The following is a 16,353-nucleotide window of genomic DNA, read 5'->3' on the forward strand; positions in this document are numbered from 1 at the left end:
GGAGGGACAATGATTGGGATATAAACCCAGGCATTCAAGCCGGCAATGGCTACCCTCTTTGGGTCCCCTCCCTTTGTATGGGAGCTCTGTTTTCACTCTATTAAATCTTGCAACTGCAAGGAAAAAAAAAGAAAAGCATAGTTTTAAAAAGCTAGACATAGAAGAATCCATCTATGGACTCTTGAGTCCATTTACATTTAGGTTCAAACATATTAAACTAATCTATGGTTATGGAAATGAAAATGTTTGCTTGATATGAGAGTGGTGACGATTGGAAAGGGACATGAGGAAACTCTGAATTGATGCAAATATTTCATACCTTGATTTGAGATGGATTTTGTGGCTGTAAATTTGTGAAAACTCATTGAACTGCACACTCTCAATATAATTATTTCACTCTGTAAATTATAATGAAATGTGTGCATGTGCTTATATGAGGGAAAGAGATGGAGGGAGAGAGAGATACAGAGGTGCAGGGGACAGAGAATGGGATGAGGGGAATTGGAGAACTCAAGTGTTGACACATTTTAAAGTTTTGCTGTGCAACTTGAGTAAAGGAATATGGTATGATTTAACAGGGAATTGAGATCAAGGAATATTTTCTTTCATGATGGGAGAAAACAGGAAATCAGTATGTTTATTGGAATGACCCAGTACAGTACAAAAATAAAAATAGTTATATAGGAGAGAGAAGGGAGAATTGCTGGAGCTGAAGGCAAAAGTGGGCTAAAGGACATGTGATCTAGTGCAAAAAAATGGTTTTAGAGAAGAGTAAAGGAAGTTCATCTTTATAAGAAACAGGAAGTTACAGTATACAGGTATTGATGCTGCTAAGTGGGTAACAAGTCTGTGGAAAGTCTCCTTTAATTTTTAAAAATGTTCTCTGCAAAGCAGGAAGCAAAGTCATCACCTGAAAGAGAAGATGAAGGAGGCGATATTGGAGGTTTGAGGACAGAGAAGGTGTGAAATGGAAGATTTAATGGATTAGGAATAAATAATAAGATATTCTTGAAGTGTTACAACCGTCTTTTAAGTGTGTGGTCATTAATTTATCATTGTGCACTTTTTTCCCCAGTTACAATCTCAGGTATAGGCTTGGAAGACAGTTGCATTTGATCAAGGTTGCAGCTTTTCCAAGCAAATGTGACAAAATGAGAGAAGGGTAAGAGTTTCAAGGGTATATGCAAGAAAATTATTATAACGATTGACCATGGAACTTAAGTGAAATAAAATACCTAGATATAGAGACTATTTTAATGAACTTCCTTTAAAAATGCCTTCAGAAGAAAGGATCTATAGCTTCAAAAAAGTGAGTAATTGTAAAAAACCTCATATGCTCCTTGTTCAAAGAAAACGAAGTATACAATGCTCAATGTCCACATTTCCACCTCCACCCCAACAATACTCAGGGCCAACTACTGTTAATAGCTTTGTATATATATGTACACGTCAAAAATGTAGTTGATTTAAAAACACTCTCTTTAAAAATACAGCATTTTTGAAGAGTAAAAGGACTGCATTCATAAAAAGAGATTTGTGGCTTTTTAAATAATAATAATATATAAATATATAAAATATAAATATAAAAATTAAAAAACACAAATAATAAATCCAGACTCCCACACATTTATCAAATTCTGGAAAAATACATTAGAATAAGCAATTGGAAAAGATGTCCTTCTAATTGTTAGTTAATTGTACTAAGAGTGGAGATTTTTCTCTGGTAGTCCTGCTCTAGCACCAGGGAAAGAGGCTTTTGAATCCTGTCAGGAGCAAAACTTGGAGTTGCCAGATGTAAAAGGGAAAGTGGATAATGGGGAAAGTTTAAAGGTCCTCAGTGTTATCAAAGTAAACACTTGTTAAAAAATACTGATAAAACGCTTTAGAACTCTGAGGCAGGCCAATGGGAATGTGATGAACTACAGGAAGTATTTAGGTCAAAAATTTGACTATATATGTGTTGGTGATGAAGATTTGATTACAGAAAACATTTGGAAAATAGACCCAGAAAGGGGAAGTATTGATCAGCATCTCCTGGAAAAGAAATCGTTAGGGGAAGAGGAAAGAATGCTTCAGCTGAAGCTCTCAGTATCAGATAAGGCGAAGAACACCCTTCCACCTCACATGCACACCTAACTTATTTTAATAAATATGAAGTAAACCTTGTTGTCTCTGGTAAGTTAGTTATATACAAAAGACTCCAGGCCAGTAGCCAAAAGTCATTGAAAAGCAATTTAAACATTTATTATTTTCCCCCAGGAGTAGCTCCTAGCCCTATCCTATGTAAACAGAGCTGATTCTTTTAGTGTCTTTCAGTTTTACTGTTCTACCCATTATTCCAATAAGCACAATAAAATCTCATGTCTGGGTACTGCCCATGAAATTGGGCATTCTTCCTTTAACATGATAGTGAAGGAGGAAAACTTAACTTTTTAAAGTAACTGTTATATACTACTAATGTTAAGATTTTTTGGACACTTATCAAAGAATAATTCCAGGATGTGGGTGCCATTTTTATCATCTCCTTTTCCCAAATGAGAAAACTGAGTCCCAGAGAGGATAAATAAGCAGCAGAGCCAGAATTCAAACACTTGCTTTGATGTTAGTACTCATGTACAACATTTTTATATTATATGTGGCCTTTCTATTAAACTCCTTGAAAGTGGTTATGAAAAATAAAATAAACAACTCAGACAAACTCAAGCAGAAGTAAATTTATCATAATGATATTAAGGCTTCAGAGAACCAATGGGAAACTAGAGAACTGAGTTAGTGATGAACAAAAGTGGTGTTGTAGAACAATTGGTCTGATTAGGACACTGACACATTAATTGCCTGGACCTTAGACACTTTTAGTCTTTCTATCCCTATGACTAAAATTCAAAATCTAGCCACAGAGCATTACATTATCCTCACTTAAGTCATGTGCCTGCCTCCTCGTTACAGAAGAGAAGTGCCATTGATTTAAGTAGACTTAATATAAAGGCCAAGGAGTAGTTATTTAAAAGGAAATTGGAGTACCATTAAAAAGGGAAAAAATGATGCTCCAGTTCCTAAAAAGCCATACATGTCAACTAGAACCCATGCTTACAGCTGCCCATTATCTACACACCTTCCTCCCATAGACTGTCTCTGAAAAATGCTCCTGCCTAAAAATATACAGTTATTTCATGGACAACCCAAAACAAATCCTGCCACTTCCCAATAACTCATTGGTCACTTCATTGAGCTTTAATTCCTGGATCTGTGGGTAATATTCATACCCCCTCTAGATCCATTGTGATTATGTTTTGATACTCTTCAATCTGTGGACTAAATTTAGCCACCATAATCACAACTTATGTACAGATTAGGAAAAATAGAATACATATTAATTAAAATATATAGGTATATATCCATGACCATGAAGGAAGGACAAGTTTGTGAAGACCAAAGTTCTCAGTACTGTAGCAGGTCTTGAGGTCATATTTAGCATTTATGACTTCCTTCCTCCACTCTTCACTTAATATCTGCTTTTCTTTTCACCAGTATCTCAGTAGTGGTTCATTGCTCAGTGGTATACCCAAACTTTAATTATTGGCAGATCTGATCCCTTGAATGTCCTGATTGAGAAGAGTTTCATTGATTTACATTCTGATGCCAACTCCTTAATCTACGTCACACTCCAGAATGTTTCTTTAGCATTATACCCATTTCATACTACTCAGGCATTAAGTAATTTGTCAGAGTTCCCATAGCCAGTAAGTGGTAGAACCAAGGTATGAACTCAGGTACCTTTGACTCCAAAACTCACGCTTGTGATGCTAGTCTTGCTCCTTGAAAACATAGGAAGAGACTGAGACAGAAGTCAGGAAATAGGTGGAGCAACATCACAGATAGTTGTTCCTATGGTAGGCCCACAGTCAGCAAAGAGAAGGCCTGTTGTTTAGGTATTAGCAAAATGGAAAGCAGATAAGACAGTTGCCACAACTGGGTGGGGGGAGGAGGATGCATGCTCAGACAAGCCCTTGCAAAATCTCACCTTGCAAAGTTAATCATTTGCAGGGACATAAGACAAACAAGTGATAGGGGTAGCAAAAATCAACTTAGACCTCTTGTGGGGGCGTTTCATCTAGGTTCTGGGAAGTGAGGTGCATCAAACAGAAAGAGTAACCCTTGTTTCTCCAGCCTGCAGAAAGGAACAATTATAGCTGAACTGCTGTACTTTCTTTCTGCCCTGCTTTATTATTCTCCATAGTACTTATCACCTTGTAACATCTGGTATATTCTACTTATTTAGTTTACTGTCTATCTCCCCTCACTTAATATGTAGGCTCCATGAGGATTTTTGTTTTGTTTTACAGGAACACACCCTGGCATATGGTAGGCCCTCCATTGATGTTTATTGGATGTGAATAAATGAATGTGTCATCAAGAGGATTTGCGATGCCCCGCTCGTCATGGAGATGTTAGGACTCTAATATCCAGTTTCAACTTTCCAACTGGCTTCTTGGAAACTTGTGGCTCCTTCTTAAAAACTGGTAAAACTTTCTGCTTTTGTTTATTGTTTACTATTTACCTTGTAGGCGGTTTCCTGCTGCAGCAGGATGTAACTTCAGAAAGAGGCCAGTGCATTCACAGTAGTAAAGACATGGAATCAACATCAACACAAATGCCCATAAATGATAGACTGCATAAAGAAAATGTGGTACATATACAGCATGGAATACTTTGTAGCCATAAAAAGAAATGAGATCATGTCCTTTGTAGGGACATGGATGGAGCTGGAAGCCATTATCCTCAGCAAACTAATGCAGGAAGAGAAAAGCAAACACCGCACGTTCTTACTTATAAGTGGGAGCTGAACAATGAGAACACATGAACATAGAGAGGAGAACAACATACACTGGGGCCTGTTGTGGGGTGCAAGGGGAGGGAGAGTATCAGGAAAAATAGTTCTTGCGTAGTGGGCTTAATACCTAGGTGATGCATGGACAGGTGCAGCAAACCATCATGGCACACGTTTACCTGTGTAACAAACCTGGACATCCTGTACATGTACCTCAGAACTTAAAATAAAAATAAAAATTAATAGAAAAGAAATCCTAAGTCTAAAAAAGAAAAAAAGAAAGAGGCCAGTGCTGCTTTCATTGCCTTTGTTCCTACCGTTTTCCAGGAGGCAAGTAAGATCCTAGCCAAAACCAGAGGCCCAAGAGTGAGACAGCCTGGGTAAATATCCTGGTTTCACCCCTAAATAGCCATGTACCTCTGTAAAAGATCCTTACCCCCCTGAGCCTTTATTTCCTCATATGTACAAAGTATTGGTACATTTTTAGATAAGGGTAATGCTAACTGGTTTTTATTTTGTTTGTTTTTTAGAGACGGGGCCTCCCTCTATTGCCCAGGCTGAAGTGCAGTGGTACGACCATGGCTCACTGTAACCTTGAACTCCTGTGCTCAAGTGATCCTCTCGCCTCAGCCTCCAGAGTAGCTGAGACTGTAGGTATGTGCCACCATGCCTAGCTATTTGAAAAAAAAGAATTGTAGAGACGGGGGTCTCCCTGTGTTTCCCAGGTTGGTCTCAAACTCCTGGCCTCAAGTGATCTTCTCACCTTGGCCTCCCGAAGTGTTGGGATTACCGGCATCAGCCATCATGCCCAGCCCACTTACTGTTTTATCAAATAAAACTGAATGTTTTCATGGCTTAATACATCAGAAGTTTATTTCATTCTCACGAGAGTCCAAAGTAGTTGTTTGTGATAGATATGTGATTTCCTCCACATAGTAATTCAGAGGTCCCAGCTCTTCTATGTCTTGTGATTCCTCCATACCCTCAGGGTCTCGAGTGACCCCACTTCCAAATGGCAAAAGGAGAAAAGAGATAATGGAAAGAGCATATCGGCCTCTTGGCTCATAGTAACACAGATCACTTCTACTCATATTACATTTTTAAGAACAAGCCACAAATATCTGTCAAATATCTGGAAAATATAGTCCCTGGATAGCCAGCTGTTTCTTAACAATTTTATCCAATGGAGGGCAGGGCATAGATCTTTAGAGGACATTTATCTTTGTTTGCTCCTCTGGCCACCAAAGATCTGTATGCACATTTCTTCTCATACTTAGAATACACTCACTCTCTTCCCAAGGGAGATAAGCCAAAGTTCTATCTAGTTACTACATCCAGCTCAGTATCTATCAGGCTCCTATTGAGATAAAAGTTATCTGTCTCCCTCAAATCCTCAATGCATGATGGTGGAATAGATACAGAAAAAACCCAGTAAAAAACTCCCATTAAAAAACAGAAGGAAAGTTACAATGATTGGTGGCCCATGGCAATAACGGAATCTTACTGGTCAGATACATTCTGAAGACAGCCTGCCAGGGCGGTTGGGGAGACTCTCTGATTAGATCCTGATTCTTCTCTCTGTGGGAAACTTTCTTGTCCATTCCTTTCCATGATTATATCTCAGGTGGGTTTGGGGGAGCTTTTCCTCCTTAGTGGATACATAATTTTCCACAGCCATCTTTCTGCTGGTTCAGGTTTAGAGGCCAGGGCATTACTATACAGTGGTGGGCTCTTGTAGACTTCCTTTGTGGTTTCTTTGGCAGTACAATTATTTCAAATTCAGTAAGCTTTCAGTTAATTTATATTCAACCATTTCTGTGTGCCAGTAACCTAACCCCACTTTTTTCCTTGACAAAATTATTGTCTGCCTTATTTCTTTGCTTTCTCATCCTATTGCTCTCTCTTTTCTTAATGGAGGCCATTTGAACCAGTTGGATCAAGTGAGAAGGAAAGAACCTTAATCTGATATCTGCTGAAGGACTAAGTCCATCTTTTTAACTGACAAGTCTTAATAAGCATTTTTTATTCACAGACTATTTCATTCTGAACATTTTCTATTTAGCTTGAATTTTTGTGTGACTCTGAAAATTCGAATATTTAGTTGCTTTCTGGAGTCCCACATATCATGTAGGCTTTGTTCATTCCTTTTTTCTTTATTTTTCTCTGTAATATTTCTTTATTTATCTCTGACATATCTTAAAGTTCTGAGAGTCTTTCTTCTGCTTAATCTGCCTTATTGTTGAAGCTTTCAAATGTATTTTATATTTCATTAAATGAATTATTGTTTCAGAATTTCTATTTGCTTCTTTTTATGATATCTATTTGATAAATTTCTCATTCATATCTTGAATTGTCTTTCTGATTTCTTTGTATTGTTTTTCAGTATTCTCCTGTATCTCACTGAGCTTCCTAAAAATCAATATTTTGAATTCTTTTTCCAGGATTTCTTAGATTTGTTTTGACTGGGGTCTGTTACTGGAGAATTACTATATTCCTTTGAGGGCATCATATTTTCTCATTTCTTTCATATTTTCTGTGTCCGTATATCGATATCTGTGTATCTGGTATAATAGTCACTTATTCCAGTATTTTGAATCTGCTTTCTTGGGAAGGGCTTTTTCCTGAAGATGTATTGATTTTATTGGTTGGGTAGGGCACTTTGGCTTTGATTCTGGATGAGTGCAGTAGTGTAATCTCTGTATGATTACTTTGGCTGTAAACAGCATTACTAGTACCTGTGATTTCTTCAATTGTTTTAATAGTGGAGGCTGTGGTGAAGTTCTGCTGAAGACTGGGATGCCAGTTGGGCCAGTGATATGGTTTGATTGTGTCCCCATCCAAATCTCATCTTGAATTGTCGTTCCCATAATCCCCACATGTTGAGGGAGGGACCCAGTGGGAGGTAATGGAATCATGGTGAGGGTACCCCCATTCTGCAGTTCTTGTGATAGTGAGTGAGTTCTCACAAGGTCTGATGGTTTTATAAGGGGCCCCTTTAGCTCTGTACCTCTCCTTCCTGCCATCATATGAAGAAGGACGTGGTTGCTTCCCCTTCCACTATGATTGTAAATTTCTTGAGTCCTCCTCAGCCATGCTGAACTGTCAGTCAATTAAACCTCTTTCCTTTATAAATTAGGTATGTCTTTATTAGCAGCATGAGAACGGACTAACACAGTAAATTTGTACCACAGAGTGGGGTGCTGCTGTAAAGATGCCTGAAAATGTGGAAGCAATTTTGGAACTGGGTAACAGGCAGAGGTTGGAACAGTTTAGAGGGCACAGAAGAAGACAGGAAGATGTGGGAAAGTTTGGAACATTCTAGAGACTTGTTGAATAGCTTTGACCAAAATGCTGATAGTGATATGGACAATAAAGTCCAGGCTGAGGTGGTCTCAGATGGAGATGAGGAACTTGTTGGGAACTGGAGCAAAGGTGACTCTTTTCATGCTTTGGCAAGGAGACTGGTGTCATTTGCCCCTGCCCTAGAGATCTGTGGAACTTTGAACTTGAGAGAGATGATTTAGGGTATCTAGGGGAAGAAATTTCTAAGCAGCAATGCATTCAGAAGGAAGCAGAGCATAAAAGTATGGAAAATTTGCAGCCCACCAATGCATTAGAAAATAAAAACCCGTTTTCTGGTGAGAAATTGAAGCCTGCTGCAGAAATTTGCATAAGTAACAAGGAGCTGAATGTTAATCCCCAAGGCAAGAGGAAAAACGTCTCCAGGGCATGTGAGAGAACTTTGTGGCAGCACCTTCCATCACAGGCTCAGAGGCCTAGGAGGGAAAAATGGTTTCCTGGTCTGGGCCCAGGGCCCCCTACTCTGTGCAGCCTCAGGATATGGTGCTTTGCGATCCAGCTGCTTCAGCTCCAGCTGTGGCTAAAAGGGGCCAAGGTACAGCTCGGGCCATTGCTTCAGAGGGTGCAAGCCTCAAGCCTTGGCAGCTCCCATGTGGTGTTTGTCTTGTGGGTCTGCAGAACACAAGAATTAAGGTGTGGGAACCTCCACCTTGATTTCAGAGGATGTATGGAAACACGTGGATGTCCAGGCAGAAGTTTGCTGGACTTCTGCCATGTTGTGGAGCCCTCATGGAGAACCTCTGCTATGGCAGTGGAGAAGGGAAATGTGGGATCAGAGCCCTCACATGGAGCCCCCACTGGGGCACTGCCTAGTGAAGCTGTGAGAAAAGAGCCATCATCCTTCAGATCCACCGAAATCATGCATCATGTGCCTGGAAAAGCCGCAGACACTCAATGCCAGCCCACGAAATCATCCTGGAGGGGGTTGTAGCCTGCAAAGCCACAGGGGTGGAGCTGTCCAAGACCATCAGAACCCAGTTCTTGCATCAGCATGACCTGGATGTGAGACATGGAGTCAAAACAGAACATTTTGGAACTTTAAGGTTTAATGGCCGCCCTATTGGATTTTGAACTTGCATGAAGCCTATAGCCCCTTTGTTTTGGCCAATTTCTCCCATTTGGAATGAGCATATTTACCAAATGTCCGTACCTCCATTGTATCTAGGAGGTAACTAACATGCTTTTGATTTTACAGGCTCATAGGCAAAAGGGACTTGCCTTGTTTCAGATGAGACTTTGGAGTTGAGTTTTGGGTTAATGCTGGAATGAATTAAAACTTTGGGGGACTCTTGGAGGGCATAATTGTGTTTTGAAATGTGAGAACATGAGATTTGGGAGGAACCAGGGACAGAATAATATGGTTTGGCTGTGTCCCAACCCAAATCTATCTTGAATTGCATAATCCCCACGTATTGTGGGAGGGACCCAGAGAGGTAATTGAATCATGGGGGAGGTTACCCCCATGCTGCTGTTCTCATGATAGTGAGTGAGTTCACACAAGATCTGGTGGTTTTATAAGTGAATTTTTCCCTCCTTTTACTTGGCACTTCTCCTTGCTTCCACCATGTGAAGAAGAACATGTTTGCTTCCCCTTCCACCATGATTTTAAGTTTCCTGAGGCCTCCCCAGCCATGCTGAACTGTTAGTCAATTAAACTCTTTCCTTTATAAATTACCCAGTTTCAGGTATGTCTTTATTAGCAGTGTGAAAACAAACTAATACAGCCAGTCTTCAGGCCACAGTGGTAGCCACAGTGCACTGACCATACCTGTCCTTGGGCCCTAGGGCAGCATATACTGGCACCAGTATCACCAAGTGTAGATGGGATGATACTTGTAACTTCTTGGATGCTGGTAGTGGCAGTGGTGGGCTGGGTGGATGGGTGGGTTCTTGGGCCCTTGGGAAGCTGGTATGGTGTAGGCAATGACAGTAGCAGTGGCAGGATAATCATCTAGGTCCTGAGTGGTATGTGGTGGTGTTGGCAGTGGCTGTGATGTGCTAGGCAGGCCAGTCTCCAGGCCCACGTGTGGCACCTGCTGGCAGGTGCCCTTGAGGTGATAATGGCCAGGTGGGTAAGCCCAACCTCAGGCCTCCAGGAGGATTGCTCTGGTGCCAGCAGTGGTGGACTGGGGTGGGCAGCTCCTAGGACCCCAGACTGCTTGCTCTGGCTTTGGGGGTGTGGGGAGCCAGGCCAGGCTGACTTACCCTCAGGCCCTTCAATGTTGTGTGCAGGTGCAGGAGTGGGACTATCATCAGGCCCCAAGTGGAATGCTCAGGTTAGGAACAGCAGTGGCTATGCTGTATCCCTGCTGTTGGGGAGGCAAGGAACTCCTTTAGTGGTGGCAGCCTAGGCCAGCAGGTAAGGAATGTGGACTCTGTTCATGCCTCAGCCCCAGCAATGGCAGCCAGCACCTCACTCATGCCTCAGCCCCAGCACTGCTGGGCCTCAGGACAATGTGCAGTCTGTTGTGGGGTGTGCTCTCAAAATGGCCCCTTGCTGTGGCTGTTTAGGACTTGGAGAGTGTTTGGGATCCAGTGCAAGGTCCCTTTCTGGAGCAGTGCCACTGGACCATCTTTAGGCAACTCCTTATGTTAGTTTCAGGGTTTCAGGGCCCGTAAGGGTCAAGGGGACTCTTCTGTGGCTAGGATTGCACAATTCCACTGTGGGAATGTGGTCCACTGGGGTCTCTCACTTACCTTTTTTCTGGACTAGGGAGTCTATCCCAGGTTCGAGCCAATCTTGGTCAAGCAGGCTACCTCACTTCCCTCTTCTTTGCTTTAGGCATTTCCTGTCACTTTTCTATTGAACACTAGTATTCTCTCTTGTATGATCTATTCAAAGTAATATTTTCTATTTACTATTTTGATTTTTCTTAGTACAGGAACCGAGTACTAGATACTACTAGTAAGTCATCTTGAAGCCTTTCTGGTGTCTATTAGGGTTCTCTCTCTGTGTGTGTGTGTGTGTGTGTGTGTGTGTGTGTGTGTATCCCTAGGTTTTTTTTTAACATAAGATAATGTCATCTAAGAATATAGTTTACTTCTTGCTTTCTAGCCTGTACACCATTTATTTCTTTTTTCTTGCCTAATTGTTTTAGCTAGAACTTTTAGTAAAATGTTGAATAGAAGTGGTGAGAATGGGCATCCTTGTCTTGCTCTTATGGGGAATCCTGTCGTTCTTTATCATTAGTCATAGTATTAGATTTGGGTTTTCAGTAAATGCCTCTTATCAGGTTGAGAACATTCCATTTCATTCCTAGCTGATTTTTAATGCGACGGTGTTGTTGGATTTTGTCAAATGCTTTATCTTCACCCATTGAGATGATAATGTGCTTTTATTCCTCATTCTGCCAATATGGTGTTTACAGCCTGATAAATTTCACTCTGAGCACTGCTTTTGCAGCATCCTATAAATTTTAATATGTTGTGCTTTTTATTTTCACCCATCTCAAAATATTTTTTAATTTCTCTTGAGATTTCTGCTTTGACTAGTTGGTTGTTTAATACTGTGATGTTTCATAGCACCATAGCAAAGAATGCCTGCTACTACAGTCCACTCTTCACTATTGATGTTGGAGAGAATGACCAAAGGATATAGCTTTCATTTTATCTTCTTGGATTCCATTTTGGCTGCACTCTCCTCTGCTTCACTTGGGGCTTTTCTCTTGACACCAGCCCACTGTTCTACAGCAACTTTAGGCCCTCCTGCAAATACAGAAGCAATAGGGTTCCAGAGAATCTTTCTGTTTAAATCAACTTCAAAATTTTACACCCTCTAATAAATACCTTATTCCATATCATTTATAGTGGCTCCACTTCCTTGATCAGAACCAAATTGATGTGAAACCAAATTCTGATGCCCCAAGTAAGTTTTCTGTCTAATGTACATGCTAGTTTTGTGCTGCTATAATCACAAGAATTTAAAAATGTCTTCTACTTCACTGAAAGCAAATTCTGTGGAAAAACATATTTTCCTCAAAAGATTATTAGTTGACAACCTATTTCATATAGTAAAGGGAATTTCAGATGATATGGAAGTTCTAATTGAGTAACCGCTTCATGCCTACGTAATTCTTGATTTTCAAGCTATGTTTGCTCATGTATTCCTTAAGCAATGTTTTCAGAAATAATCTGGGGAAATAAAGGTTCCATTTGGGCAAGCTGAAAATGTCTTTGATTTAATGATTGTTTAATGATTTCGCTGGTGATTTTGCTCTTGGCTCAACATCATTTTAATCTCATGATACAGAAAAGCTCCCTCAATTATCTTGTAATAAATATTTTTGTTGATGAAAATTTAAAAAGTAGTGTGATGTTTAATTTTCACATTTCCCTTTGTTATTGATTCTAATTTTATTCCATATAAAGAGAAGATACTTTATATGATTTCAATCTTTTAAAGTTTATTGAGACTTGCCTTGTCATTTAACACATGACCTATTCTAGAATATATTGTATGAGGGCTTGAGAAGAATGTGTATTCTGCTGTTTTTTGTGGTGTGTTCTATTTATGTCTGTTAGTTCTAGCTGCTTTACAGTGTTATTAAAATCTTCTATTTACTTGCTGATCTTTTGTCTAGCTCTTTCATTCAGAATTATAGGTGGAGTATCAAACTTTCCAGTGTTATTGTTGAACTGTTTATTTCTTCCTTAAATTCTGTTCTTGCCACATATATTTTGAGTTCTTTTGTTAAGTGCATATATATGTTTATAATTGATATACTTTCTTAATGAATTGACAATTTATTATTATATAATGTCCCTTTTCTCTTGTAACAACTTTTGTTTTAATGTCTAACTTATCTGATAATACTGTAGTCATACCCACTCTCTTCAGGTTACTATTCACATGAAATGATTTTTCCACCCTTTTACTTTCAAACTATGTGTGTATTTGAATCTAAGTTGAGTCTTTCATAGACATCCTAAGGATTGCTTGTGATTTTTTACCCATTCTGTCCATCTCTACCTTTCAATTGTAGATTTTAATCCATTTATATAATGTGATAACTAATAAGAAAAAACTTAAATCTGCCATTATGGTTTTTGTTTTTTATATGTCTTATAGCTTTTTAGCTCCTTAATTGCTCATATATTGCCTTATTTTGTGCTAAACAGTTATATTCTAGTGTATCATTTTAATTCTCTGGTAATTTATTTTACTTTATATATTTTATTTGTTTTCTTAGTGGTTGTTTGGATTACAATTAACACCTTAATGTACAACTATCTAGTTTGGATTAATATAAACATATTTACAATTAAAAAAATTTCTATATAGCTGTGTCTCCTACTTTATAAGACTATTGCCACATATTGCATCTTTATTTTATACATTGTGTGCCCATCACCATAGATTTATAAATATTGTTTTATGCAGTTGTCTTTTAAATAATATAGGAAAACAGAAGAGTTACAAACCAAAAATACATTAATACCGAATTTTTAATTTTCCTTTGTGGTTACCTTTAATAGTTCTTAATTTATTCATGGTTACTGCCTGATGTTTTTTTTAAATTCAACCTGAGCTGTTTAGCATTTCTTGTATGGCAGGTGCACTAATAACAAACTCCCTCAGGTTTTTTTTTTCTCTGGTACTATCTTAATTTTTACTTCACTTTGAAGGATAGTTTGTTGGATATAAGATTATTTGTCAACCATTTTTTGTCTTTTGGTATTTTGAACTTCTCATCACATTGCCTCCTGACCTCCATGTTTTTTGTTAAAAAATCTGTTCTCACTCTTATTGAAGAGCCCTTAGAATTGATGAGTTGCTTTTCTGATGCTGCTCTCAGGATTCTCTTTGTCATTGTTTTCTGATAATTTGACTGTAATATATTACACTGTTGATCTCTTTCAGTTTATCCCATTTGGGATTCATTAATCTTTTCAGATGTGTGGTCATATCTTTCATTATATTGAAGAATTTTCTGTCATTATATCTTCAAATATTCTTTCTGCCCCTTTTACTCCCTCCTCTCTTTTAGGACTCCCATTATAAATATTTTGGTACACTTGATCATGTACTAAAAGACTCAGGCTTTCTTCATTATTCATTATTTTACTTTCTGATTCTTGATTGACCTATATTTAAGTTTGCCATTTTTTCTGCCTTCTCAAATCTGCTAGCAAATTTCATATAAGTTACTGTACTTATTGACTCCAAAATGTTAATTGGTTTCCCTTTATAATTTCTATATCCTTACTGATATTCTCTAATTGATGAGACATCATTTGGTTTTCTTTCGTTATTATTATGTGGTTTCCTTTAGCTCTTTGAGTATATTTAAAATAGTTATTTCAAAGTCTTTGTCTTGTAATTCTAATGCCTGAGTTCCACAATGAGAGTTTCTAGTAATTCTTTTGTCTATAGCATATTGGCTATATTTTACTATTTCATTGCCATACATATATATATATGTATATATATGCATATATACATATTTATATGCATATATGTATATATATGCATATATATGCATATATACATATATACATATTTATATGTATATATGCATATATACATGTTTATATGTATATATGCATATATACATGTTTATATGTATATATATGCATATATACATGTTTATATGTATATATATGCATATATACATGTTTATATGTATATATATGCATATATACATGTTTATATGCATATACATATAGTTGAAACCTGAGAATTATCATAACGTGGCAATTTTAGACATCATACATTCTCCAATTTCCATGATTTGTAGATGCTGCTTGTTGTAGTTGTTATTGTTTGTTTGTTTAATGACTTTTTCTGAACTAGTTTTGTGAAGTCTGTGTTCTTTTCATGTACCAATAAAATCTTTGCTCCATTAGCTTAGTAGTCAGCTAGTAAATGGACACAGATTTCTCTATATGCCTGGGGAAAAAAAAAGTATTTGCAAATGAGCTCACCATGTATATTGGTGCCTGTCTTCAATACCCAGCCTGGCCATTCACAACTCTGCTTTAGTTTTCACTTCCTGCTTGCACAAAGCTGGATGGTCAGCTAGAGCTGATGTTTAGGTCCTCAGGAATTTCCTGAGAATGTAACCAACCCTGGGCACATGTGTGGACTTATGTATTCCTAGGAATATAACAGAGTTTTGAAAGTCCTTATTCCCAAAGCATGTAATTCCCCAGACTCTTCCCAAGCTTTTTGGTTAGTTTATTGTTTGCTCCACCAGTTAACCATTTTCTCAGGCAACAGTGGCAAAGTGTTTGCCTTTAAATGTTTTCAACAAGTGTTCCTTGGGTAGTCACCTTAGCAGTGGGAGAGTTAGGCAAGCCTTTTAGCCTATCTTCTGGGCAGCCACCAAACACGTCAAAGCAAACAACCACAATCTTTTGAGAAAAAGGTCTGTTCTGCTCTCTCTGGTACCACCAGTGTCTCTTCTTAGAATGTAGGTTGTTGTCTTTGATGGCACCATCTAGCTAAGCAATGGGATATGGCATCAAGGTAACTTTAAATTCCAAAAACTTCTCTCTTCCCATTCATATTCAACTGGTTTTTTCCTGAGTAAGCATTCCCCTAGTTGCTACAGGTTTTTGGTTAGTTTTCAGAGTTCAGAAAAAATTGATTGTGACAGGTTTTGCCAGTTTATTAGCTGCCTTTGTGGAGACATGCAACTTTGGAGTTATGTATTCTCCCATTTTCACTCTAACTGATGAGCTTTACTGAGCCTTTTTGCTTAAATAACTTTTCAGCCTGAGTTCTTCCTATTTTGAGTACAGCAATAGTTGGTATTTTAAATCATGCAAGGCCACTACTATGGACAAAATTGTGTCCACACAAAATTTATATGTTGAAATCCTAAGCCCCAAAGTGACTGTATTTGGAGACAGGGATTTTAGGATGTAATTAAGATTAAATGAGGTCATAATGATGGGATCCTAATCTAATAGGATTGGTGGCCTTATGAAAATAGGAAGAAATAAGTTTTTATGTCTCTCCATGCACATGCACAGATAAAAGGCCATGTGGGGACTCAGTGAGAAGGCAGCTGTCTGCAAGCCAGGAAAGGAGTCCTCACCAAAGATCAACCCTGTCAGACCTTGATCTGGGACTTCAGCCCTCCAGAATTGTGAGAAAATACATTTGTGTGGTTTAAGCCACCCAGTCTATAATATTTTATTATGGCATCCTGAGCAGACTA

General features: G+C 38.4%; 2 long non-coding RNA genes across 5 annotated transcripts in view, besides 2 other annotated features; one reads left to right on the forward strand and one right to left on the reverse strand.

The window, feature by feature from the left end:
* Positions 1-3,913, reverse strand: part of LOC105373304 (uncharacterized) — a 60,450-nt gene extending 56,537 nt beyond the window's left edge. For both annotated transcript variants that reach the window (XR_938495.3, XR_007068301.1), the window contains exon 1: positions 3,775-3,913. This is a non-coding gene — a long non-coding RNA (uncharacterized LOC105373304). The remainder of the gene's footprint in view (positions 1-3,774) is intronic.
* Positions 3,964-4,108: an enhancer, noted in NCBI's record as "145 bp enhancer 3 fragment used in the MPRA reporter construct; PK_construct_169". NCBI's record gives its function as "activates an SV40 promoter by MPRA in HepG2 cells {active_cell/tissue: HepG2}" and the evidence as "EXISTENCE:reporter gene assay evidence [ECO:0000049][PMID:23512712]".
* Positions 4,029-4,042: a transcriptional cis regulatory region, noted in NCBI's record as "HNF1 motif; enhancer activity is reduced when this motif is scrambled". NCBI's record gives its function as "necessary for full MPRA enhancer 3 activity {active_cell/tissue: HepG2}" and the evidence as "EXISTENCE:site-directed mutagenesis evidence [ECO:0005528][PMID:23512712]".
* LOC105373305 (uncharacterized) lies at positions 4,111-5,683 on the forward strand. 3 transcript variants are annotated; one of them, XR_007068302.1, is made up of 3 exons: positions 4,111-4,520; positions 5,156-5,208; positions 5,359-5,683. It is a non-coding gene; the product is annotated as an uncharacterized LOC105373305 (long non-coding RNA). The 3 variants fall into 3 exon arrangements; XR_938497.3 differs by lacking the exon at positions 5,156-5,208 and having other exon boundaries at positions 4,111-4,260; positions 4,344-4,520; positions 5,359-5,482; XR_007068303.1 differs by having other exon boundaries at positions 4,111-4,260; positions 4,344-4,520; positions 5,156-5,404.
* The last annotated feature ends 10,670 nt before the right edge of the window (positions 5,684-16,353 follow it).

The sequence above is a fragment of the Homo sapiens genome, chromosome X, assembly GCF_000001405.40.
Source record: "Homo sapiens chromosome X, GRCh38.p14 Primary Assembly".
Taxonomy (NCBI): Eukaryota; Metazoa; Chordata; class Mammalia; order Primates; family Hominidae; genus Homo; species Homo sapiens.